Genomic DNA, 27,226 nt, shown 5'->3' with positions numbered 1-27,226 from the left:
GGGTGGCGTGGCACATGTGGGCAGTGGGCGGTGGAGCCAGTGGCAGCACGGGTCTTGCTAAGCGGTGGGGATGACACAGAGAGCTGGAACTGGAGCCTGGAATGGGGAGGTTGCCATTGAGGTCAGACATTCCGCCCTAGGGACTTTTAAGAGGGTCTGGAAGTCCTACAGTGGCAGCTGGAGGTGGGACAGTCATGAAAATACTTTCCTGTGTTCTTATGAAACTCTGTTTTTAACCTAGACCCATGAAACCTGGGTCCCATGTCACTCAAAGATCCAGCCTCCGAGCAGTGGGGACTCCAAGTGCTGAGGCCCTCATCCACCTGCTGGGCCTCAGCTGCAGACAGCCTCATCCCACCCAGGCTTTCTTCCCCGCACCCGTCTGCTCCCTCCTCCTAACGCAGACATCTGTTCCCCACCCACTCCTTCTTCACCACCCTCCCATCTCTCATCCTGCTCCCAGGCGGTGTCTGTCTGCAGCGCCCTCTCTGTCCCTGTCTTGAAGTCACGGGCCCTCAAGTCCATCCTCCCACACCTGCAGCTTCCTGGCATCCTCAACCCTGGGAACTTGCTGGTACCAGGGCAGCCAATTCCATTCTTGGACAGCATTAGCTGTGAGTTCCTCACACTGAGCCCAAATCTGCCTCCCAGAAGATAAGTTGGTCTTGGTTACATCCTCTAGAGCTCTGTCAAATGAGCTTAATCTTTATTTCACATGACAGCTTTTCTCTCAGACGCATGACATCAGGGTGCTGTTTTACTGCACCTGTGCTTCCTCCACGGCCAGTCACTCATGGGTTCCAAGTCTGTTGTTTCTTCATTTGTCTCCTTATCTTCCCTCTTCCTCTCCATCACCATTGCCCTGCCGTGGCCTAGCTACATCCAGTTTTTCCCTTTTCCAATTCTTCTCCCTCACTGCTACAAGATGAATTTTTCTAAAATGCCAATGAGCACACATCTCCCATCTGATGGTGCCTTAGAGCTTACAGGATAGTCCCCACCTCATAACCTGGCATTTAAGGTCTTCTTTCCTGGGTCTCCTATTTTAAGCACACTTGCTTCCTTTTACAAAACCCTTAATTGCAAGCAAACCAGTCAATTCATGGTCATCCTGCCTGTGGGACCCAATCTATAACTTCTTTTCCTTCTCCAACCCTGTCTTCTCTTTGAAGGCCTCCCTGTCTCTGAAAGAGTCCCCTCCCTGATGCTACAAAACCCACAGGCCTCACCACTGTGCTTTGCATATATAGTCTCGTTTTTTATGTGAGTCCAGTTGTAGATCCTCAGAGAACTCATTTCACCTCCATGCCCTTCAAAACTCATGTCCTCAAGCATGAATTTTGAGGACAATGATGAGATAAACCCAGCTGCCAGTACTCCCTGAGTCTCTTCGCCATTTCCTTCAACAGGTCCTCCTCAGGACAAGCTTTGGGTTTCTCTGTTTTTCCAGCAGCCTCTGAACATACCATAGTGCTTTCTGTGGGGTCTGACCACTGTCAGGTAGACTGAAACCATGGCTCCCCTGAACACAAGGTAGGGAAATTGATGCAATAAATTATGATGTGGCAATTATTTATTTAAATTACCAAAATATTTGATCAGTGCTTGAGTTCTTCACATCTTAATGAGTCCTATGTTCTTCCTGGGAAAACTTTTCCAGGATTGCTCAGGAGCAGGGACGACTTTCTTTGCTCATTCATTAAAAAAAAAAAGTTGCATATCTGCCATATCCTATGAATACTTTCTGGAACAAATTCTAGAATGTGAATTTGTTGAATTGTTCCAGAAGAAGAATTTGAATTTTTATTCACTTTCTCAACTTCTCTTGCTATTTACAAGTGATGTAATAGTATGTTCTCTAATTTCACATTTCTCTACTGTTTTATTTTTCAGTATGTCCTTTAATTTACATATCAGGTATGTGTTTTAGAAGCAGCCCTCATAGTCACGATCCCATAGTCAGACCCCTTAATGGAGTCAGTAGAGAGGGGAAGCCGAGAGCACAGATTCCAGACAAACATGACTTCACCCTGGGCTCTGCCACTTACCAGTTATGTGAACTTCAGTAACTTATTTACCTTTTTGAGCTTCAGTTTCCTCATCTGTAGAAGGAATAGTGCCCATTGTGTGTGTGGTGAGGATTAGATCAGAGAATGTATTTGTGACATGCTTATCACACACACACACACACACACACACACACACACACCAGGTGCTGTCCACTACTGCCAGTGATTCTCTCAGTGAAGTGCTTCAACCCTGCGTGGTAGGTTATGAAATGCCCAAAGCAGGCCTTTGATGACGATGACTGTGATGATGAAACTGTTAAAACTAGACATGGAGTCCCCTATGACTCAAAACTAGTGCTGGAATCCCACAGCTGAAAGTTACTAGAAAACTGTTTTACTACTGTTTAGCCTGGGTAGTGAAGGCCAAGGCATTTCCTCCTTGCCTACTGTGGCTATTAGGGAAATCTGGTGATGATAATGCATTGTGTAATTTCTGAGAGCGTGGAGGGGCTTTGGGGACTATGGTAATAATAATAGACAAATGGTCACTACCCTTTAGGGGTATTGACCATAGCACTATTTCCACTCCCACCCTCCAGTCCCTCCATATACACTAAAGATCAATGGCCAAATAAAGTACTGATGATCTTACAACTAGGCAAACATTCCCTAACTCCAAATGAAAGGTAGAAGTTGTGCTGGAGAACGTGGTGTAGACTAGGAGCCCAAGCAAAGTCTCTCTTCCTATGAGTTAATACCTATAAACCACACAGACAAAGGTCACAGTGACCACGACTCCTTTCCCCTGGACTCTAGGGGTCAACTCCACCACACAGCTGCAAATCCAAGCATCAGAAGGGCAAGAGGAGGGAAGACCTGCTGCTACCAGAGGAGGCTCAGAGGGCACATGGAGGGGAGCCTGCCTTAGCATGCTTGTGAATTCACTGACTCTTCCTTATTGACCCTATAAAGTAGGTAGTACTATCACTCCCATTTTGCAGGTGAAAAAACTGAGGCACAGATGAAGCCAGTAGCCCAAGGGCATACAGCTATGGGGGCAGAGCTAGGACTTGAACTCAGGCAGGTTTGTTCCTGATTGGCTTGTTATATATTATACACTGTCTCTTGCTAAAGGCCTCAATCATGCCCTCAGCCTCTGGACAGGGAAGCTCTATGCTTCCCTCTATCCGTGAGCACTGACATCACAAGCAAGTGCGACCATGGTAAGTGTGCTCTGTCGAGGGAGCAACGCAGTGACTTGCAGGCTGTTCTTCTAAGTATGTGCCTGTTTGTCCTTATAATTAAACACAAGCAAAAGGTAAAAGGGGTAATTCTGTAGCCAGGTCTGTAACCGGGAAACAGCCTTTGGACGTCACTAAGATAACTAGACACATCATTACTATGTCTCTCTGGCCCTTGTTTTCTTCTAGGGGAAACGACGTTGCAACCCTGACAAGGAACACCCTTCACCTGCCATATTCTTTATCACTTCACTCTCACTCTTCCTTGGTTGGCCCAAAGGTGGCTTCAGACCCAAAGGCCCCTAACCCATAGGCTGGCCAGGGACCTACAGTGTGGCCTGCTGAGAAATGACGAACAATTGCATTCTCAGTCTTGGGAATCTGATTTTGGAAATACAGAGGCAATGAAGCTGTGAAGAGTGGGGGTTGAAGCGGAAAGAATCTGGAGGTGGTTAAGGCTGTGATAATCTAGGCAGGAGAAACTGACATTGTAGCAGAGCTGAGTATTACAGAGTGGAGAGCTGGAAGTGAAGCAGACACAGAAAAGCCTGGTCATGGCAGAGGAAAAGCATTATGGCAGCTGACGTTCAACCCTGCCTGCAAAGAATCATCTGGAGAGGGTTTCACAGATATTGGCACCTGGCTCCTCTCCAGAGAGTCTATGTAATTGGTGTAGAGTGGGACTCAGGTACTGATGCGTTAGAAATCTCCCCACTGACCTTCAGAGGAGTTTCTTGGCCTCCTGGCATCCCTGCTGCTGAGGTTCATGGCCCTCTACACTGCGGCTCCAGCTCTGCAGAGGCCCCGTGGTGCAGGTTTTCCTGGGTCCACTGGCAGTCACTTTGGGACATGTAATCACTCGCAACTCCTGCCTATCCTTTGCTAACAGAACCCTGATTTTGTACAAGTATTAGAGCAGCAAAATGGTTACGGAAGATGGGCCCAACCCCACAGGATGCGTCTAATGGGTTCAAACCAAACATGATAATCCCATCTCCCTTTTCCCATCTTAGAGATGAGTATGTGATTCAGTTATAACCAATGACATAGGAGGAAGGTGGCCTTTTGGGAAAGATTTTCCCCTTTTTAGAGAGAGAATGGGGGAAGCTAGAAAACCCTCTCACCCTACCTGCATTTGGAAGTTATGCTGCAGATGTGACACCTGGAGCTTCAGGAGCCATCTTGTGACTGTGAGGGGAAAACCCAAGAGAACTGCAGAGAAGCTGACCAGAGCCCTAATAGGATTATTGCTGAATTAACCAACCCAGGAATCACCTACCTCCAAATTTTTTATTGCTTACTATGTGCTTACCATGAGCCAGGTGCTGTTGTAAGCACTTTTCTCATATCAATTAATGGAATCCTTAACAACCCTGAGTGTGAAAATGATACATGTCATCTCTCTGCACTTGTACCCTAGCCCCTCCACAGTCCAAGGCATCAGAACTGGCTCTGTTTCCTGCAGGAGCAGCCTTCCCATACTCTACTCAATGCAATCTAAGCGTGTCTCTCTGTGAGACAAAGGGTATGATGTGTGTACTGTTGGGGTAAAGAATAGCCAAAAGATAGCAAAAGGCCTCAGAACTAGTGAGCTCTCTGTCTGTAGGCCACAGGCTGTGCTGGCACTGGCTGTGTAATAAATGTCCACATGGTGCCACATGTTCAGGACGTTCTCAGTGGGTGCCTTCCTTGGCACTCAGTAAAGCTGCTGCTGGGATCCCTCACCCTTTCCTTTCACCCCCTCACTGGCCGCTCTACTCTCCCTCCATTGCTTCCCTCTCCCCCTCTTCTCTAAGTCTCCAACAATGGGATATCAGAGGAAGAGAAACACAACATGCCTCCCCCACCCAAAAAAGCCAACTCTGGCGTGACCACAGATTTTTAAAATCTGAATTTCTAGGCAGCAGAGTCCCTAAATATTAACAGGTACTCTCATCAGCCTGTTGTATCTTCAGAATGAGCTTTCTTTTCAGGCTGTCCTGTTCCGCCAACATAAGCTTAGCCATCCCATGAGAGAGGTCCTGACAGCCTCCTTCATGCTCTGCACCAGGGAGATGCACACATCCCTCCTAGGCATTCTCAGCAGTCACCACACCTTTTTCCCCCATCTTCACACTCTCATTCACACGCTCTGAAATTGGTCAGCATTGGCTCAGCCCCTTCATTTGGACTCAAAGAACACCACAGGTACAAACAGTTTACACAGACTTTATTTTTCACCCATTGAGGTGAGCACACAAAAATCTGGGCAGGCAGAGTTCTATGAGATGCAGTGTCACAATTACCTGCCCTGGTTCACAGACACAGACCACGAGACTCGGTGGTGAGGGAAAGGGGTCTTGTTCTTACCATAAATTGCTATGGGATTATCACAATGACACATTTATTCCTGGTTCTATTTACATCATGGAGTGTGGAGAGGGTACATTTCTTACACTAAAAATATATACTTTGGAATCTCTAAAACAAAAAAATATCTCTATCTCTACATGAGACCCACTAGAAAGAAGAACATAGAAAACAAGGGAAATGTACCAGCACCTCGAATTGTCTCCTTCCGAGGGAAGGTTGCTCTGTTCTCCACCTGACACCATTAGCTTGGAAGGGCAGCCAAATCTAACCAATCAGACAGACAGACACAGATAAACAAGAGGGAGGCTTTATGATCCTGGAGGAGTGAATATAGGAGAAAGGAAGGAGGAGGAGGATTTTGGCCTCTTCTACAAAAGGAGTAATTGCACAATCAGTTTGGTGCTTCTGTTTCCAGCATTATTGCACATGTGAAAAGCCTGCATGTTGAAGTCAATTGCAAACCTGCTAAGCGAAGCCCAAGCTCCGCTGATTTCTGCTGGGCTCAGAAAAGTGCCATGGGTGAGTTCTCTCTCTCAAGAAATATTAATGCCATCAGCTAGAAGAAAAAGTTCTGTATTCTCCAATGCTGAAACTGGGTTAGGTTTAAGAAAAATGCTATTCCTTTTCTCTTCAGAAGGATCAGAAACCATTCCCTTCCCTTTGAGCACAGAATCTCCTAAAAGAATTATGCCTATGGATGAATCATTCCATTTTCTGAATTTCCCTACTGAAAAGGTTCACATAACACTCCTTTCCTCTTTTCACACTTCAAGCAGTAATATACTTCCTTTACATCTCTTTTGGTTATGAATATTACCCTCCTTTCTGATGAAAAGATGTTAACTGACTCAACTGCCCATTCTCTATAATTAATATTAAGAGACCAAGGGAACCAAGAATCACAAAGGATAGGCTTAGTAGAAAATCATTTCTATTTGGCTTTGAGATGTGCTTTTCTGCTTACATTGAAATATGGATGAAACTGAAGGCTTGAGAATTCTTAGTCCCTCACCCTAAACAGGGGAAATGACCATAAAGTCCCCTTTCAAAAAAGCCCCGGGACTGTCCAACTCCTCACCATTCTCAGCACCCCCAGCTGGTGGTGGTTTTAGGACCTCTGACCAAGAACTTCTTTCCTCCAAAGAACTTGACAGACTGAGGAAAAGGCAGAAAAGAGAGGTGAAAGGGGTGCTTGAAAAAGCCGAGACAGTAAAGGAGGGAGGAACTTGGATGATGTCTCATTTGGCCATTTCGGGTCTGCTCAAAGGACTTCTACCTAATGGGAGGCCCAACACCTATGACCAGAAGAAAGTCAAAAGAGCTGAGAGGTTCAGTGCAAGGCTCCTGGATGCCCTGCTAGGATGTGGCTTGGAAACCTGAGAAGTTCAAGGAAAATCCAGGAACAAATTGGCAAAGACAACTGTTTAAAGTCCTGGAAGGAGGTGCTAACTTCCTTACAAAATAAATTTAGAGAAGCTGATAAAGCAACAGAGAGAATATATTGATAGCATTTCTGATGCTCGTTGAAAAAGCCAGGGGCTCTGGGGCCAAGCCTGCTCCTGTGCTTCAGGAAAACTTGAGACTCAGAACATGGACATTGAAATAAACAGAGAAGATGCAGGGAGAATTATGAATTCCTTTACTAAGAGGGAAGTCTGGAGAGTTGAGTGGGTAGAAAATAAAGTAGGACTAAGAACTATCTTTTTTGGACAACCAGAAACTACAGATTCCCCAAGCCAGAAATTTCTTGAAGGTCACAGCTATCATAGTCTGAGATATCAACCAAGCCTGGGACTTAGCACATACCAGAATTTTATCAAACATTTGTGATTAATTTAAAAGCCAATCACTGGCCGGGCGCAGTAGCTCAAGCCTGTAATCCCAGCACTTTGGGAGGCCAAGGCGGGTGGATCATGAGGTCAAGAGATCAAGACCATCCTGGCCAACATGGTGAAATCCCATCTCTACTAAAAATACAAAAATTAGCTGGGCATGGTGGTGCGCGCCTATAGTCCCAGCTACTCAGGAGGCTGAGGCAGGAGAATCACTTGAAGCCAGGAGGCGGAGGTTGCAGTGAGCTGAGATTGTGCCATTGCACTCCAGCCTGGTGACAAAGCGACAGAGCGAGACTCCGTCTCAAAAACAAAAAACAAAAAACAAAAGCCAATCACATCCCAGACGAAGAGAAACGACTCTTCACACCATCTTTTGGAAATATATGGTTTACTACCCCACTACCCCAAATCCAGGTCTCTACACATAAAGAGATGGGGACAGGAGCTGTATGTGGAAAGATCACATCTCTTGGCAATCCTGTCTTCAGAAGTTGGAAGTCACATCTAGCCACAAAGAGCCAGGCTGTGTTTTCTGCAACCAAACATATTTGGCAATTTCACAGTATATTTCTGCTGGTCTTCACCTTCTCTCCAGACCTACCCTTCCCTAAAAGTTATGGCTAGCAAGTAATCCACCCACTTAGTAAGTCCAGTTCTTTTCATTTAGAGCTAAGATCCCACCCACCATCATTTTATCTAATCTCTGGCCTCCCTCCCTTCCTACCTCTATACCACAAGCTTATCAGGGCATTGGTCTGCCAACACTCAAACTGTTTCTGAAATCTCCCATTGTTATAAAAGAGGTGCACCACTTCCCTGGCCCAAGCAAATGTGGTCATGGAAATCACCTAACTACCTGCCTTGCTTTCCACTCCTAAATTTGTTTCTCCTTCATGCTGAGTTTAAACATCTTTTCCCATAGATGAATCTGTATTTGTTCTCAAATTACTCTTATCAGAGAAGTCTGAGATGGGAACCCCCTAGATGGGAGAATGGCCATATTTTTTTAATGTCCCTCCAGATAGGTACACAAAGACTAGTAGTAACAATGAAATCTTATGGCTACACTCTCATTTGTCAACATACACACATGCAAATGCACACGCATGCACACACACCCACACCCACACACACACTGCTGCTGCTTCACCACTACTCATTTCCTACCCCAAACACTGCCCACCTTGACTCTTTCACCACAGTGACCAGCCACAGACCTAAGCAAGAAAGCAGCCAGGACTCGGATTGAGTGTTTGGTGGAAGTTGGACAAGAGGAGGGAGTAAGAGTAGGGAATGGTTCCTACCACAGAGATGAAGCAGAAATGAGGCTGGCTATTGTTTGAGAAAAATTTAATGGCCTAAAAGGGTTGGCATGGCCTTCAAAAGTAACTAACAGACCCGGCCAAAGGAAACCAAGAGAGCTCCCCTCAAGATATGGAGCACACATCAGTCTCCATATCCTTTGGGGAAAGCCTCCTACTTATTCCAGTGCAAGTCACAGGTGCCACGCCCCCTACAGCAGAGGGCCATATTCCAGCCTTGTTAATGCTGTACAGTGATAATGTGTGGCACCACCATACCAAATTAACAAAGTGCACAATGATTGTGTCCAGCATCATATCATCACTACGGCAACCTGTTGATGATAATGTAAGCCAACCTGACAGAAGGTCTGTAAGCTGGTTACCAGCGGGATATGGAACAGACACATGCAAAATTCCAACAATCCCGGATGACACAGCCCACAGGCTTGGATTATATCATGCAACACTACATACTCTTAGTGCTCTTTACAGAGATTTGAGAGATAACACCTATGCAAGGGCTGTTGAAAACAGATTTAATACATTCAAAGCTGTTGCAGGAATCAGTGACACGCACATCAATTACCCACAGCTTGGTGTTTCTGCCTATGTTGCAAAAAAGGTGGGATACCCTGGTGTCGTAAAACCCTGATTGGAATACTGCCTGAAAAAGTTGGAGGATCTGGACAACCACTAATGGTTCAGGTTCATCAAGTGGCCCATGAGTCACAGATGACAACACTTGTGACGATAAATAACTTCCTTAAAGATTTTGAGGCCAGGGGCAGTGGCTCATACCTGTAATCCCAGCACTTTGGGAGGCTGAGGTGGGTGGATCACCTGAGGCCAGGAGTTTCAGACCAGCCTGGCCAACATAGTGAAACTTCGTCTCTACTAAAATACAAAAATTAGCTGGGCATGGTGGTGCGCACCTGTAATCCTAGCTACTTGGGAGGCTGAGGCAGGAGAATCACTTGAACCCAGGAGGCAGAGGTTGCAGTGAGATGAGATCGCACCACTGCACTCCAGCCTGGGCGACAGAGTGAGACTTTGTCTCAAAAAAAATATATATTATGACTCCACACTCATTTTGATTCCAGGAGTAACTGATGAAATCCCCAAATTCAGAGATGCTTGGAGATCCCTTGAGAAAGCTATCAGTCCCATGTGGTTTCCCTACGTGAAGGCAATTTGCCATCCAGATGCTGTGAAAATCACCATGACAGCCTTGCCTTGCCTCCGCAGCACTGTACCATGCCTCAGAAACAAGCTCCACCATGAGAAATTACCACCAAGGAAAACCAATTCCAGGAGGAATTCCTGAAAGTAAGCTCAAGGATGCATCTGCTGAAAGCTCAGACAGGTTGGCCAATCAACATTCACAGATGAACAATGGGAAATCCTGCAATCATGTGGACTGACCCATGAAGTCGTCCAGGCAACTATTGGAGACAAAAAAAAGAAGAGAATCACCATCATCTGCAACAGGTGACAGTCCATAGGGACCCATGGATTTTTAAAAAATCGAACCTCACAAAGAGATCCAACAATCAGCTAATGAGTCAAAGGCCACAACCAGTATCCAGTGAGAAGCAATGTCAGACCACGAGGATGACAGGAAATCACCACGTCCAAAAGGACCAGACTAGACAAAATCACCCATGCCCCGTGAGCACTTGCCGTTAAGAGATCCTGGTGCCATCTCTTTCTCTAGCCACACAGGAGGAGGGCTGCACTTCCAAGACAGTTTCAACTGAAGAGGTTACCCTTAAAGTCTCTTGCATGAAAAGAAAGAGAGGGGACAAAGTTGAGTCTGATGTCAGTAGTGAACTGGCTGAAACACTAGATTGATCTTGCATCTTACAGACGGCAAGTTTGATACAGTGTACTTGGCCTTTGACACATTAGCAAGCATAATTGAGAAAAAATTCAAGATCCTTGATGGAAAGGTCGAGAAACTTCAAATTGATATATCATTCATGCATTCGAGAGCCATCAAGGAATACCTCCTATTGGGAAGTTTTTTTTTTTTTTTTTTTTTGAAATGGAGTCTTGCTCTGTCACCCAGGCTGGAGTGCAGTGGCATGATCTCGGCTCACTGCAAGCTCTGCCTCCCGCGTTCACGCCATTCTGCCTCAGCCTCCTGAATAGCTGGGACTACAGGCGCCCGCCACCATGCCCAGCTAATTTTTTTGTATTTTTAGTAGAGACGGGGTTTCACCACGTTAGCCAGGATGGTCTCGATCTCCTGACCTCGTGATCCGCCCATCTTGGCCTCCCAAAGTGCTGGGATTACAGGCGCGAGCCATTGCGCCCGGCCGGGAAGTTTTATCCTGCATCACTTGCAGGGATATCAGACCCTCCTCCAGCTGTCCTCGTACCAGCTGTGCAGGCTGCTGGAACCGCTGTTGGGACCTACAATCCCTAGAGTGACTGGTAATCACCATGCACAAAGGTGAACTGCAACTGTACGGAGGCAACCGAGCACCACACCCACAGAGCCAGGATCATCCAACCCATTCGCCCAACCCCAACCATCACCTCGTGGCAAAACCACCCAAATTCCTTCCCATCTTCACTCACAATCTTCCCCATGGAGTTCACCCCAACAACGCACCAAATCATATTTTTTTTAAAAAGTAGCTAACATTCCTAAGGCGCAGTGATCCAGGAGGGTCTAGCTCGAGAAGTACCCTAAAGTGCACAGGTGGTCCTGTACCTGCACTACACAGAGTTAATGAAGGCTCCTCCCCTCAAGCGGTCAAGGCAGCACAAGACATCCGTGTGTTAGGGGAGGCATTTTTCTGAGTGATACTCTCACCCAGTTTTGATACACTCCTTACAGCTGTGCTGAGGCTAGGGAAAGAGGTGAAATGGTCATCAACCTCCCCACACAGAGGTGGCAGGAAAAGATGGGAGGGGCAAGATAGAGCAAGAAAGGGGAGATGTTCTCAGGGAACAATGAAGATGAAAAAGTGGCAAGCTCAAGGAGGCAGCCAGAGAGGGACAAGGGAAAAGTCTGCAAGAAAGCTTATCCTCCAGATGGGCTGCCTTTTAATTCTTCCCAATTAGGTAGGTAAATGAGTACAATTACTACAGTTATCCTAAAGTGCTAAAATGTGAAGCTTTGGCTCATGAAGATTTTAATGCCCATATAGGTTCCAAGAAGCATGACCTATCCTGTCTGCACCATATATATATGAAAGGAAGCTAAGGCTGTGCCCAAAACAGCCTTGTGATAGAAATGAGACAAACCAGGAACAATACCCACGATTCAAAGGAACACCATTTTAATATCTGAAAGTAGCATAATGTTCAGCCAATAGGCATTGGTACAACCATACATACTGCTTGTTTACAGCAGGCATCCCTTCTGAGTGGCTGGCATCTGTCCTGTACCAGTTGTTAAAATATTTTGAAAATCATCTCTGTATTAAAATAATTGTGGCCCTATGAGATAGGGAATATGAAATAAATGAAGGATTCCTTTAACATCAAAGGTCTTTAGAGTAAGACTAGAATACATTAGTATATTTTAAAAGTCTAAGGAATGCAAAATTCAATAAAGTGATATAGCCAACCCTTCACCTAAGAAAGAAAAACACATCGGGGAACTTCCCACTGTACAAAGATTTTCCAGGATGGGAAACTAACATGATAGAATTATCTGGGTGCTAATGGGCTTGCTAGTTACATTCTGTGCACAAAGGAAGGAAAGGTTTATAAGCACTGGATCCCAAATACTTTACATTCATTGCAACATAGAAGAGAAGAGAAAAACTATAAATGTAGTTTTAAATTAAATACCAAAACTAATTTCACCACTTACAGTTCATTTCCCAGTGTGACTTTTTGCATCTGAGAGCCAGAATGTTTGTCAACCAAAAGAAATCCATGATGATGAAGAAACCACATGGCTGAAGGTGATTTTGGTCCATTGAACTGATGATCGTTTACTCTAAGGCAGCTAAGGAGACAGTACGTAAGCACTTGGATCTCGCCAGGATGGAATTGGAATGTATCCTCAAGAGACAGCAGCAAGAAGTCGAAGAGTCCCGCAAAATGGCCAATAAAAACATCATATCCTCCTTTCTATTCACAAACAACTATTATCAAATCTTTCCCAGATATCTAGAAAGCAGACACTATGACAAATCTTCAGGCTAGGAAGTTCTTCCTGGTATCTAAACTAATTCCTTCTGTTGCAATCTAAACTCAATCTCTTACTCTATCCTCAATGAAAACCAAGAGACACTGCTCATCCTCACTTACTGTTGATTTTCCCTGGATCCCTTTCCTATCTAAGCGACACAACTCAAATGTCCCTTCTTGGCTCTTGTATCATCCAAGATTCTTGCCAGTTATGCAGGCTGCTGCTAAGGAGTGATGGAGATGCACCCAGGTCAGAGGCATCTTCCTGGCTGTGGTGGCAGGCACTGCCAATGCCCAGATCATGGATCTTCCTGGTAGCTGACCTCCTGACAACCTCTGGGTCTGACCAGCATCCCCCAGGGGAGGTAATCAAACCAAGGCCCAGGGCTGCCTAGGAGCCTGTAGACACTAAGAGCACTGGAGAGCCAGAGAGGATGTCCTCTCTGTTCCCCTCCTACTCCCCACTCTGTCCTTTAGGAAGAGGGACCTCACTGAAGGACTCCTCAGTGGCAGAATGAATCCATATGGCTTGGCAGGCCAGCAGAGAATTTCAGAGAAAACGTCTGGAAAATGGGAAGCTAGGTCTTCAATGGTGGCCGTTCTAAAGAGAAAAAGAAGGAAGAGGAGAAGAACCAACAGGAGGTGGTCTTCTGCTTCCACATTCACATCTGGTGACTGGCTGCTGGTATGGGGATAGCTGGATGCCTTCCAATGCACACCAAGAATAACTGAATGCTTCGGCATGGCTTTGAGATGACCAAGGACAGGGCCAGACTTGGTCTTGCTTCTTCTCTGAGAGACTCGCCATTTTCTCTGTAACCAGAACTTCCCTGAGGCACCACACGGCCCAAATCTTCCATCCCAGCAAAGACTCTTAGTTGAAGAGACTGAATAAAAGTGTTACAATTAGACAAAAAGGGAACATATGATTCATTCCTCCTTTTAACACAATACTTTGAAGATGTCACCACAATTTGGATCTGGCTATATTTTAAGTTCATTTACAAGTAGACTAGTTCTCAACTAAAAATAACCATGTGCGTTATACATTTCGACAGCTGCCTGGATTTTCCTCCGAAGGAAACAAGATTCTATATTTCACTCACATTCAGCAGAGATTCATTTTAACCCATTCGATGAAGACATAAATCACCACTACCACCCACTGGTGGCTGTGACTTTTCAGAGCACTTCAGTTTCTCCTTGGAGCAGCCTCAGGAGTGGGGCAGTTAGTTATTATTATCTCCATTTTCCTGCTGAGTAAACTGAACACCAGAAACAGTGGTCTGCCAAGTTATACAAGGAATTAATCGAAGGACTAGGTCTCCTAATTCCTAGCTTTTTTTTTTTAACTAGAAAAGTTGACTTTAGGAAGGCCTCAGATTTTGTCTTCAGTTATTTACTTATATTTAAATGGTATTTGGACTAAATTATTCAAGAAATTTTGGCATATAGCCTACCTCAATGCAGGCAAAAATGCCTCAAGTTCTTCCATTTTCTTCATTAACCTGATTAAGGTTGATCTATGCTATTAGTAAATGATATACGGTATTTGGTTTCAAAACAGAAAAACAGTTACGGCCGGGTGCAGTGGCCCACGCCTGTAATCCCAGCACTTTGGGAGGCCAAGGTAGGAGGATCCCTTGAGTCCAGGAGTTCCAGACCAGCCTGGGCAACACAGTAAATCCTCATCTCTATAAAAATGCAAAAGTTATCTGGCAGGGGTGGCATGCACCTGTACTCCCAGCTACTTGGAAGGCTGAGGCAGAAGGATTGCTTGAGCCCGGATGGCAGAGATTACAGTGAGCTGAGATTGTGCCATTGCACTCCAGCCTGGGAGACAGAGACTGACCGTCTCAAAAAAACAAAAAAAGAAAAAAAGGAAAAGAAAAAGAAAGAAAGAAAAAAAAAACCAGTTACAATTTAATATTTCAAAAATCTTTACTTGTTGTTAGTTCTCATTATGTAACAAGTGAAATAGGTTAAAGAATGTATCAGTACTATCAACACTATCTGAATATTTTAGCAATTTCCTACTTTGTGTGGTTGCAGTAACCAGAGACATGCCCTTCAGATTCTGAAATGAGAACTAGAAAGAGGATTAAAGGAAATAAACAGGCAAAGCAAATTTATATGCCAAAATAATCCCTTCCTGACCTTGGACCTGTGTAAACGGGCTGCTTAAAACACCCTGACCAAATATTTAGAAAACATTTTTACTTTTTTAAGGCTTATAGCTATTCTTATGTGGTTAGCGGCAGTTCCTGGAAGTGCTATTTATTACACAAATTCCATTTTACAACTAAAACACATTTTACCTTCAATATCGCCATTGTCAAAAGCCAGAAATAAATAAAAACCAGATGTTACAGTTCTCTTTACCTCTTTTCCTTTGCATTTCCAGAATTCATACTGAGAGCTTTCCAAACTGTAGTTTTAGGCATTTCATCAGATATATTAATCTCAGAGGGGTCACATCTGAAATCAATCATTAGGACAGTGAATGTCAGACATACAAGTAAAATACATACCACAGTCTATAATGATCACTGTCCCAATAGAAGGGAGAAGATGGGGTTTGAGACCACGCAGCCAACAGCTCTCAGGAACTCGGGGAACAAGATGGAGTCTGATCTTTCTCCTGCAGCCACTGAGGTCAGAATGGCAAGGTGGCCCATGAGGTGGTGCTGAAAGCTGGGCTGGTGTGCCAGGTGGCAGCCAGTCCTGCTCCCACAACTGTGCACTCCTCCGAAGGGCCTCACTGGAGATGCTGCTGACAACACTATGATATCAACAGTGTAGCATCAGGAACTACCACTTACGGAGCACTTGCTGCATGCCAGGCATTTTTCATTCATTTTCCCATTTAAACAGCCAAATCTCTTCTATTCATAGTTCACAAAGGACTTTCCTAGTATCTTAACTATCATAGCAACAGAGATTATTAACATCCTCATTTTGAAGGTGCAGAAATGAAAGCTCTCAGAGCTAAGTGACTATCCAAGGTCAAACAACAGCAAGTAGAGAATCAAGACCTTGAACCCAGCCCTTGGTTTCCTAGAAACAGAATAGTTTGATGTTTGCTGCAAGCCAGATTATCTCCTTCTAAAATGCCAAGAGAGGAGGCAGCATCCTGTTACAGGGGAAACATTGTTCCTACTTTGCCACCAGATAAATCAAGCTCACGGCTCCTTCCACAACAACACGTAGAAAGTTTATTAAGAACCAAGACTATTATTACGAAAAAGACTGTCCTAATTTCCCCCACAGTATAAACCACAACCAACTCAGTGATGCAGCAGTAAATTCTTCAGAATCTCAATGACCCAGATATCCTGCTCTTTTCCTTTGCTCTGCTCCCTCTTGACCTCTAGGTTTTTCAGCTTATGGTACCTAGAGGTACACAAGTGCTATGTGTATCTCTTCCAATTCAGAAACAAGATGCTAGGAGTAAAACCATGAATGGACCAATTTAGCTTCCTGTCATTTGTGGTGAGCAATAGGTTTGATAGAGAAAGGGGCTAAAATCATTGGCAGAAGTAAGGAATTTTCATGATCCCAGTTCAATTCCCCCTTGCTCCCAGAACTACAGATGCCACAAGCCAGGCTAACATTGACTATTTCTGCCTATCCCCAAAAGCTTGCCCAAGCATTGGATTTCATGCCTACTAGGCTGAGAACTCTCTGGAAATAAAGACCACATCCTTTTCATCTTTGGAAGGTGGCAAAGAAAGGCAGAAGGAGCACTGGTTTGAGGAATAGAAGACGACCAGGGTTTGAATCCTAATCTTTCTATTCAGCAACATTGTAACTTTGGATAAATTACCTAAAACTCTCTAAGACTTAGTTTCTTCACTTATACAAATGTGGATAGTGATATTCATATGAGTACAGGTTAACTGACAACACATAAGTAAACCCTCTAGCACAATCCCAGCACAAAGGAGGCACTCAGTACATTGGCTTTCTTACCTCTCTTCTTGTGATTCCCATAACCTGATACAGTGCCTGGTACATAGCAGGTATTCAATAAACAATGAGATGGAAAAGGTATTTTCACAGGATGGAACTGGGAGGCTGAATATTTAGCTCTTTATGCCAGCAGCTGCACTTGTGACACCACCACCACCACAAAGCCAGAACACTTAGAGAATAACCCAAAAGTAAACTCCTTGGTGTTTGGAAGTTTTACCTGCAACTGATGTTCTTTCCAGGACTACTTAGTAACTTCCTGCTCTCTAAGGGAAACTTGTCTCCCCCAATTTCTAACATTTTCTCAGCCTCCTGGAAGAAAAAGAAACATTATTATATCTTGGACCAAGTAAGACCATAAGTTCACCAGCCCATTCTTCTACCACAATTTCTACCTAATTTCATTGTGCATTTATTATAAAGAATATAATTAGGTTCTTTCATAGACTTGAGTTACCACAAAATGAGAGACAACCAGATATTTATACATGTGGAATGGCATTCAAAAAAGAAAAAAAGAAAATGTCAATCTGAGTAAACCTCTAGAGCTAATGACCAATTTACTACAAATATAGCAGACAGAAGAACATTTTAAATGACACCAAGGGACACATTTAGCAAAATCTAAATGGTGAGAAGCCCTAGAGGTCAAAGACCCTGTTTCTTCAACTTTAAAAAAATGGAAAGGGAACCCCTAAAAAGATTTAAGACAGATATCAACCAATTGCAATATATGGCTCTTCTTTGGATGCTAATTCAAATAAACAAATTATTAACAATAAGAAGCCTTTTCTTTCTACCTTTGTAGGTTTAAAATAATCAATAAGGTAGGCCGGGCATGGTGGCTCACGCCTGTAATCCCAGCACTTTGGGAGGCTGAGGTGGGCAGATCATGAAGTCAGGAGATCGAGACCATCCTGGCTAACACGGTGAAACCTCGTTCCTACTAAAAATATAAAAAATTAGCCAGGTGTGGTGGCGGGCGCCTGTAGTCCCAGCTGAGACGGAGAATGGCGTGAACCCGGGAGTCGGAGGTTGCAATGAGCTGAGATTGCGCCACTGTACTCCAGCCTGGGCAACAGGGTGAGACTCCGTCTCAAAAAAAAAATAAAAATAAAAAATAAAAAAATAATAATAATCCATAAGGTAAAAGATCTCTACGAAGAGAACTACAAAGCACTGCTGAAAGACGTCAGGCTGGCTGGGTGCGGTGGCTCAGGCCTGTAATCCCAGCACTTTGGGAGGCTGAGGTGGGCGGATCACGAGGTCAGGAGATCGAGACCACCCTGGCTAACACGGTGAAACCCCCGTCTCTACTAAAAATACAAAAAATTAGCCGGGCGAGGTGGCGGGCGCCTGTAGTCCCAGCTACTCGGGAGGCTGAGGCAGGAGAATGGCGTGAACCTGGGAGGCAGAGCTTGCAGTGAGCCAAGATGGCGCCACTGCACTCCAGCCTGGGTGACGACAGAGCGAGACTCCATCTCAAAAAAAAAAAAAAAAAAATTAGTCGGGCGTGGTGGTGCATGCCTGTAGTTCCAGCTACTAGGAAGGCTGAGGCAGGAGAATCGCTTGAACCTGGGAGGCAGAGGTTGCAGTCGGCCGAGATCACACCACTGCACTCCACAACCATGCCAACGTCTGTTACTTTTTGATTTTTTAATAATAGTAATTCTGACTGATGTGAAATGGAGTCTCTTTGTGGTTCTGATTTGCATGTCTGATGATGCATGATGTTGACCAGTTTTTAACACCACTGCACTCCAGCCTGGGCGACAGAGCGAGACTCCATCTCAAAAAAAAAAAGAGGTCAGGCACAGTGGCTCATGCCTTAATCCCAGCACTTTGGGAGGCCAAGGCAGGCAGATCACTTGAGGTCAGGAGTTCGAGACCAGACTGGTCAACATGGCAAAACCTTGTCTCTACTAAAAATACAAAAATTAGCCCAGGCGTGATGGCAGGTACCTGTAATCCCAGCTACTCGGGAGGCTGAGGTAGGAGAATCGCTCGAACCCAGGAGCAGGAGGTTGTAGTGAGCTGAAATCATGCCATTGCCCTCCAGCCTTGGCGACAGAGCAAGACTCTGTCTCAAAACAAACAAACAAACAAAAAACACACTGCTGAAAGAAATCAGAGATGATTTCTTTTTCAGAGAATCATTTCTAATCTGACTTCTTTTTCAGAGAATCATCTCTGATTTCTTTCAGCAATGTTTTGTAGTTCTCCCTCTAGAGAGTGCTTTCATGTTTTTGATTAGGTGTATTCCCAGGTATTTCATTTTCTTTATGGCTACTGTAGTCAGGATTGTGTTCTTGGTTTGACTCTCAGCCTGGGTGTTATTGGTGCATAGAAGCGAAAGGGCAAAGGATATGAACAGACACTTCTTAAAAGAAGACATACAAGCAGTCAACAAACATATTAAAAACTGGTCAACATCATGCATCATCAGAGATGCAAATCAGAACCACAAAGAGACTCCATTTCACATCAGTCAGAACGACTATTATTAAAAAGTCAAAAAATAACAGACTTTGGCATGGTTGTGGAGAAAAGTGAACACTTCTACACTGTTGGTGGGAATGCAAATTAGTTCAGCCCCTGTGGAAAGCAGTTTGGAGATTTCTCAAAGAACTAAAAATAGAACTAGCATTAGACCCAACAATCCCATTACTTGGTATATACCCAAAGGAAAATAAATTGTTCTGTCAAAAAGACATCTGCACTCATATATTTATTGCAGCACTATTAACAATAGCAAAGAAATGGAATCAACCCAGGTGCCCATCAATGGTGGATTGAATAAAGAAACTGTAGTATGTATACACCATGGAATACTACGCAGCCACAAAGAGAACAAAACTATGTCCTTTGCAGCAACATGGATGCAGCTGGAGGCCAGTACCCTAAGTGAACTGACGCAGGAACAAAAAACCAAATAATGCATGTTCTCATTTATAAGTGGAGGCTAAACATTGGGTACACATGGACACAAAGATGGGAACAAAAAACACTGGGGACTCCAAAAGGCGGAAGACAGGGGAAGGGTTGGAAAACTACCTATGGGGTACTATGTTCACTACTTGGGTGACAGGATCATTAGAAGCCCAAAGCTCAGCATAACTCACTACACCCATGTAACAAACCTGCACATGCCCTGAATCTAAAATAACTTTTTTTAGAAATCCATAATAAAATGTTTTCTTAGAAAATAATCTGGCCGGGCACGGTGGCTCACGCCTATAATCCCAGCACTTTGGGAGGCCGAGGCGGGCGGATCACGAGGTCAGGAGATCGAGACCATCCTGGCTATCACCGTGAAACCCGGTCTCTACTAAAAATATACCTAATGCTAAATGATGAGTTAATGGGTGCAGCACGCCAACATGGCACATGTATACATATGTAACAAACCTGCACGTTGTGCACATGTACCCTAAAACTTAAAGTATAATAATAATAAAAATAAAGAAAGAAAGAAAGAAAAAAAAAAAAAGCCAGGCGCAGGGGCGAGAGCCTGTAGTCCCGACTACTCGGGAGGCTGAGGCAGGAGAATGGCGTGAACCCGGGAGGCGGAGCTTGCAGTGAGCCGAGATAGCGCCACTGCACTCCAGCCTGGGCGAAAGAGCGAGACTCCATCTCAAAAAAAAAGAAAAGAAAATAATCCCACTAATTTAAAGAAAATAATTACAGAGAAAAAACTATCTGTACAAAGATGTTCAAAGTAATATAAAACAACTAAAAATTTTAACAAAGGAAAAATATTTAAATTAAGTATGAGATAATACTATAGAACATTATACATCCATTTAAAAAATATCATGATACAAATAGAAACATGAAAGTGTCTTATGAAATCAGGTTGAGGGGAAAAATCAGAATATATATGTGCTATATATATAAATACAAACTCACAATTATATAATTATCATAGTTATATGAAAACTATGTTAAAAAATTGAAAACAACATAAAGAAATGAACATGAATGTTGGCTATGAGGTGGAGAAAAAGTCTTCACTTTTTTCTTTTATTTCATTTAGCTTTTAAAATAATTTTATAAAGTAACACGTGTTAACAAATATGTACTTACTTCAGGAATTTTGGAAAATAAGGAATATAATGTCTACCAGCCACCTCGAACTTAACATCCAAAGGAGATCTCTTGATTTTCCTCCTAAACCTGCTGTTCTCCTTGGTCTTCCCCATCTTAATAAATAGCACAACCATTCATTCAGTTGTTCAGTCCAAAAATCTAAGAGTCATACTTGATTCCTCTTTCACCCATGCCCACCATCATTAGCAAAACCTGTCAGCTCTATCTTCAAAATAAGTACCCAATTCAGCCACTTTCATCACCTCTACCTTAGCATAAGCCACCCTCCCCTATTGCCTGAGCTGCTGCCAGCCTCCTAGCTGGTCTCCCTGCTACCACTCTGTCCCTTCCAGTCTTACTGGCTTTCTTGGTGTTCCTCAAACACACCAAGCTCATTCCTCCTCAAGACCTTTGCATTTTCTGTACCCCTGCCCTGGAATGTTCTTACTCCCAGATATTCTCATAATTTGCTTCTCACTTGATTCAGGTCTCTACTCAGATGTCTCCTCAGAAGTCATCTCTAATCATCCTAAATAAAGTAACTCCCTCACTCCCTACCTTCTTAAAACATATCACTACCTAAAATTATATACGTGTGTGTGTGTGTGTGTGTGTGTGTGTGTGTGTAGAATTATAGCACTATAACCAAGAAAACAAATATAGACTTGTTTGCTTGTTGACAGTGTCTCCTCCAAGAGAATGTAAGCTCCATGTGGTCGGTCAGGGACTGTCTGTGTCCTGTATACTACTGTATCTGGAACAGTGACCAACAGAGTAAGGATTCAATAAATATGGAGGAAGAAAATTAATCAAAAAATGTATAATCTTACCAACTAGAGAGACATAGAGCAACACAATAAACATTTTGGTGTATTTTCTTCCAATCTTTTTCACGTGTGTGGGGGGTGCACACATGCACGTGTGTGTGTGTACAGTATGTGTATATGTATATGTTTTAGTAAAAGTGAGATTCTTTGACAGTCTTACTGTATGCTCCATTTTATATTCCCTATGTTTTTCACATAAAATGTCAGAAACACGTCCACATATCTTTCTTATTTTTATTTTTTTGAGACAAAGTCTTGTTCTTTCGCCCAGGCTGGAGTGCAGTGGCATGATCTCAGCTCACTACAACCTCTGCCTCCCGGGTTCAAGTGATTCTCCTGTCTCAGCCTCCTGAGTAGCTGGGATTATAGGCATGCGCCAACATACTTGGCTACTTTTTTGTATTTTTAGTAAAGACAGGGTTTTACCATGTTGGTCAGGTCTCAAACTCCTGACCTCAGGTGATCTGCCTGCCTCAGCCTTCCAAAGTGCTGGGATTACAGGCGTGAGCCACCACATCCAGCCTCTTTTTTTTTTTTTTTTTTTTGAGACAGGATCTCTCTCTGTCACCCAGGCTGGAGTGCAGTGGTGTTATCTCGGCTCACTGCAATATCCGCCTCCCAGATTCAAGCGATCCTCCTGCCTCAGCCTCCGGAATAGCTAGATTATAGGCGCCTGCCACCACGCCCAGCTAATTTTTGTATTTTTAGTAGAGACGGGGTTTCACCATGTTGGCCCGGCTGGTCCCAAATTCCTGACCTCAGGTGATCCAACCACCTCGGCCTCCCAAAGTGCTGGGATTATAGGCATGAGCCACCGCGCCCAGCCTATATTACTATTTTTAGTGTATGAGAAGCCAATTTCAATTACAGTCTTGCCAACACTTGTTTTTATCTTTTAAAAATCTTTGCCAATTCGACAAGTAAAAAAGTATTCTCCTTGCTTAAATTTTCATTTCTTTTTTATTTTTTAATATTTATTTTCATTTCATAAAATCCAGATGCTGCACAATCATTTCTTTGATTATTAGTGAGAATGAAATTTTTGTCATAAGGCAACTGGTCATTTGTACTTCTTTTTCGTAAATTATATATGTCCATTGCTCATTTCAATTTCATATTATTCTTATTAATTTATAAGAATTATTTGAATAGTAAGGATATTAACATGTCTCAACTTATCTGTTATTTTAAAATTTTGATTAGAGTTTTGGATGCCTGAAAGCATCACATTTTATGTAGTGAATTCTATCAATATTCTCTTTAAAGTTTTCTTCCATTGACTTTATATTTTATAATTGTTGAAGCTTATTTAGAAATACAAGATTTTTAAAGTTCAAGATATTAGGGGAAAAAAAAGTCATCTTTTTTTTTTTTCTTGAGATAGGATCTCACTCAGCCTAGGCTGGAGTGCAGTGGCATGATCACAGCTCACTGCAGCCTCAACCTCCTGGGCTCAAGGTATCCTCCCACCTCAGCCTCCCAAGTAGCTGACTACAGGTATGTGCCACCACATCCAGCTAATTATTTTGATTTTTTTTCTTTTCTTTTCTTTTTTTTTTTGTAGAGACAGGGTCTCATTATATTGCCTAGGCTAGTCTCAAACTTCTGGCCTCAAGTAATCCTCCAGCTTCAACTCCCAAAAGCCCTGGAATTACAGGGATAACCCATTATGCCTGGCCTAAAAAAAAGTCTTTTAAAAGTTTTTTCAAAGGACACTATTTTAGGCACTAACTGTATTTGGAAACACTTCCCAGCTCACTCATTTCTTGGTCTGGTATTTTCATTTGCTACACATTCTTTCTTTGCACATATAGGCCATTTATTGAGGGTCCATTGTGTAGATGACAAGATGCCAAGTGCTGAGGGAAATGAAAAAAGACAGAAAGTCCTATGCAAGTTATCTTTGCATGGTGCCAACCACAGCACCATTTGCAATTAGATATATTACAAACATTCTAGGAAATAATGGGTCTTATGTATTTGTCAAATTAGACCTTTTGAAAGAATGTGAGCCATTGAATCTGCTAATAAGGGCATACTGTATGTTCACATTGTAGGTATGAGCCTGGTGAGTAGATTGTAAACAAAGGAAAAAATAAGTGGTTGTCAAACCCAAAAATTAAGAACAGACAGAAGCAAGAATCCCTAATCCATTCTTAGCTGAGAACATCTTTGGGGGTAATCTTCCCAGCTCCTAAATATAACCCTCGGGATTCCAGACATGCTGACTTTTCACATGACCCTTCCTATGTTCTGTAATTTGAGGCCCCCAGGTATACAGTTGGTGCAAGGACTATGACCTCTTCCTCCTTGGCCTTCTTTTTGGCATCATCCAACTTCTTCTTTTTGCTTTCAGGCATGAGATCATCTAGCCAGCTCAGCTCTCGCTTAGAGAAACAGAGATCCATGACTTTCCTGACAAAGACCAAGGCCAAAACCTGAAGAAAAATTAAAAAAAAAAGTGAATTAAAGGGACTAATTTCCTTCCTGGACTTAAAAGCAAAGCCTTATTTTCACAGCAGACTAGGACATTTCAAGCAAAATCAAACTCATAATAATCCTAACAGTCACCATTTATTGAATGCTTTCTTTGTGCCAGGTAACATGTGTTACATACAGTATTTTAACTATCATAACAGCTCTACAACTTAGAGAGCAGCTAACTGGATTCTGTCATTGAAAAGATGAGCACATCATCTGCAGATGGCTAGGGGTCAGCAGGAAGGCTACAGGACAGCAGGTGGGTAGAAAGCCTCTGCTGGAGCTGGGCCATGGTGGGACCAGCCACAGCCACCCAAGCATTCCTCACAGTGGGATGATGGGTTCTCTTAGAAGATCATCTTTATTCCCTCTGATCCTTTGCCTATACATTCCCCTACCCAAATCCTTGCTTTGGGCCTGCATCATTTGTCTCTAGTGGTTTTTGTCTTTGCCCTCTGGCCTGGCCTGACACTCGCTTTATAAATGAGGAAACTGAGGCCCAGAGAGAGAAAGTGACTCGCCTAAAATCTGACAGCTGATTTCCCCGATAAAGGTATGTCCAGGGCATCTCAACTGCTGCTCCACTTTCTTTCCATGAGGGCCATTTTAGCCAAAGGAAAACAAAGAATTAATCCTGCCTGGGTGGACTGCTGTTCATCAGCTATAATTGGTGACTGGACAAGGAATGAGGCAAATCAGGCTTATTAAATTCAAGTACATTTCTCTCTAATTTAGTGACTACTTTCCTAATACATCTGGAATTGATAGGATCCCTTCTAGGAGTTCCCAGTAATCTGCTATTTATTTAACCCATGAACGTAACACACGAATACAAACCCTTATATGTAGCCTGACAAAATTGAGAAACCCACCAGGAGGGTGTGGATCTAGAGGATTAGAAAAAAATTAAAGATAGAATTTCCATATGATCCAGCAATTCCACTCCTGGCATATACCCCAAAGAACTGAAAACAGAGACACAAACAGATATTTGTACACCCATATTTACAACAGTATCATTGACAGGTGAATGGATAAACAAAATGTAGTATTTACATACAGTGGGATACTATTCAATCTTAAAAAGGAAGGAAATTCTGACACATGCTACAACATGGATGAACCTTGAAGACATTAGGCTAAATGAAATTAGCCAGTCACAAGCTGGGCGCAGTGGCTCATGTCTGTAATCCCAGCACTTTGGGAGGTTGAGACGGGTGGATCACCTGAGGTCAGAAGTTTGAGACCAGCCTGGCCAACACAGTGAAACCCCGTCTCTACTAAAAAAAATACAAAAAAAATTAGCTGGGTGTGGTGGCAGGCACCTGTAATCCCAGCTATTAGGGAGGCTGAGGCAGGAGAATCGCTTGAACCTGGGAGGTGGAGGTCACAGTGAGCCGAGATCATGCCATTGCACTCCAGCCTGGGTAACAAGAGTGAAACTCCATCTCAAAAAAAAAAAAAAAAAAAAAAGAAGAAAGAAAGAAAGAAAAGAAATTAGCCAGTCACAAAAGGACAAATTCTGTGATTCACTTATATGACGTACCTAGAATAATCAATACATAGAGACAGAAAGTAGAATGGTGGTTGCCAGGGGCTGAGGGTATGGGAGAATGGAAATTTAGTGTTTAATAGGTGCAGAGTTTCAGCTTTGCAAGATGTAAAAAGTTCCAGAGCTGGAGGGTGGTAATAGCTCCACAGCAATGTGAATGTACTTAATGCCACTCAACTGTACACTTAAAAATGGTAAATTTTAAAGTTATAATATTTTACCACTAAAAAATAACAATGATAATAAGAATTTATTTTTTAAAAACCACCTCACCATCATTGGGAAAACAATGGCAGCTGGAGATGCCTTGATGACCCAGAGCAGGACGAGACAGGTCAACTGGATGAGGGTGAAGAGGTGCACTTTGCGCAGCGGCACATGCCGCAGGTAGATGAAATCTGGCTGGTGCTTTGCGGGCATCCCAAAGAGCTTTAGACGATCAAAGAACTGAAAGGAAGGAACTGGCATTTATTTTCAGGAGGGCATTCTGGGTCAGAAGCTTTGTTAGACCAATTCATATCTCTTACATTACCTGCTCTGAAAGGTAGGTAACACCATTTCCTCTGGACAGAAATGGAAACTGAGACTTTAAAAGACCAGGCAATTTGGCCAAGGTTATTAAGTGGCAAAGTCAAAATTTGAATCCATCTTTTCTAATTCTAGGTTCAAACTTCTTTCTCTTATCCCACACTGTGTCTCCTAAGAGAGCTCTTTCTCAGGGGGTGTTGAAAACAAAATAAACCAATTACATCTTTTTGCTTATTATCAAAACCAAATTTCTTACTTGTTTTAGGAGTTTGGAGCCATTCATTGATTATTTATAGTGAAAAGATAAAATAAAACCTCATAACATCCTAGATATATAAAAAATGATCATCCTTACAATAAGGAAAAAAGAGAACCAGAGATTAAATAACCTGCCCAAGTTCATAGTAGAACTCAGTATGTAAGAATGGCCATAGGAAAAAAAAAAAAAAAGAAAAAAAAGAATGGCCATAGGACATTCCATTCAAACAAAGAATAATCAGCCTAAGTTATTATATTATCTGGAATACCCAAGTTATCAATGACAAGCTCCTGATTTTTCTTTTTGAAAGACTTAGAGCAATAGTTGATGGATGGAAAAATGCAGAGTATAACAAGAAGTGACATCTCCTTACCAGGAGCAACTCCCACTATTCCCCTATCTCTTCTGCCAATGAACCCTCTCCCAAAGTTAAACACCCCATTTTTATACTTTAGCCTGGCACTAACCTAGATCTGTCCATGAGTGAAAGCCAGTTTGGTTCTTGATCAACCTTTCAGATCCAAGTTTACTAGCACCTGGCAAAGCAACTAATGTTTAATACATGCCAAAAAAAAATTGTCTGTTGAATAATTAATGAATAACTGGAGCCATGACATCAAGCCAG

The 27,226-nt window shown here is 43.0% G+C and overlaps 1 protein-coding gene across 8 annotated transcripts in view, besides 4 other annotated features; it reads right to left on the bottom strand.

The window, feature by feature from the left end:
- Positions 1,103-1,232: an enhancer, noted in NCBI's record as "active region_6383". NCBI's record gives its function as "activates an Ori minimal core promoter by ATAC-STARR-seq in GM12878 lymphoblastoid cells {active_cell/tissue: GM12878}" and the evidence as "EXISTENCE:reporter gene assay evidence [ECO:0000049][PMID:35858748]".
- SLC4A8 (solute carrier family 4 member 8) overlaps positions 5,443-27,226 on the bottom strand; it is a 124,318-nt gene continuing 102,534 nt past the window's right edge. For 4 of the 8 annotated variants that reach the window (NM_001405270.1, NM_001258401.3, NM_001039960.3 and 1 more), the window contains 5 exons: positions 26,088-26,261; positions 24,082-24,219; positions 17,086-17,177; positions 15,276-15,371; positions 5,443-13,780 (listed from right to left, as the gene is read on the bottom strand). In NM_001405270.1, coding sequence (NP_001392199.1) covers positions 13,768-13,780; positions 15,276-15,371; positions 17,086-17,177; positions 24,082-24,219; positions 26,088-26,261 — 513 coding nt within the window. In that variant the 3' untranslated portion in view covers positions 5,443-13,767. Of the gene's footprint in view, positions 13,781-15,275; positions 15,372-17,085; positions 17,178-23,578; positions 24,220-26,087; positions 26,262-26,346; positions 26,401-27,226 lie in introns of those variants that run through there. The other 4 variants (XM_011539011.2, XM_011539010.2, XM_011539014.4 and 1 more) reach the window with 2 other exon arrangements.
- Positions 18,354-18,853: an enhancer, noted in NCBI's record as "H3K4me1 hESC enhancer chr12:51896137-51896636 (GRCh37/hg19 assembly coordinates)". NCBI's record gives its function as "activates a minimal SCP1, AML or CMV promoter by ChIP-STARR-seq in naive H9 embryonic stem cells {active_cell/tissue: H9 hESC(naive)}" and the evidence as "EXISTENCE:reporter gene assay evidence [ECO:0000049][PMID:30033119]".
- Positions 18,854-19,355: an enhancer, noted in NCBI's record as "H3K4me1 hESC enhancer chr12:51895635-51896136 (GRCh37/hg19 assembly coordinates)". NCBI's record gives its function as "activates a minimal SCP1, AML or CMV promoter by ChIP-STARR-seq in naive H9 embryonic stem cells {active_cell/tissue: H9 hESC(naive)}" and the evidence as "EXISTENCE:reporter gene assay evidence [ECO:0000049][PMID:30033119]".
- Positions 24,033-24,132: a silencer, noted in NCBI's record as "silent region_4470". NCBI's record gives its function as "represses an Ori minimal core promoter by ATAC-STARR-seq in GM12878 lymphoblastoid cells {active_cell/tissue: GM12878}" and the evidence as "EXISTENCE:reporter gene assay evidence [ECO:0000049][PMID:35858748]".

This window comes from Homo sapiens, chromosome 12 (assembly GCF_000001405.40).
Source record: "Homo sapiens chromosome 12, GRCh38.p14 Primary Assembly".
In the NCBI taxonomy this organism is placed as follows: Eukaryota; Metazoa; Chordata; class Mammalia; order Primates; family Hominidae; genus Homo; species Homo sapiens.
This window is presented reverse-complemented; position numbering and strand designations above follow the sequence as displayed.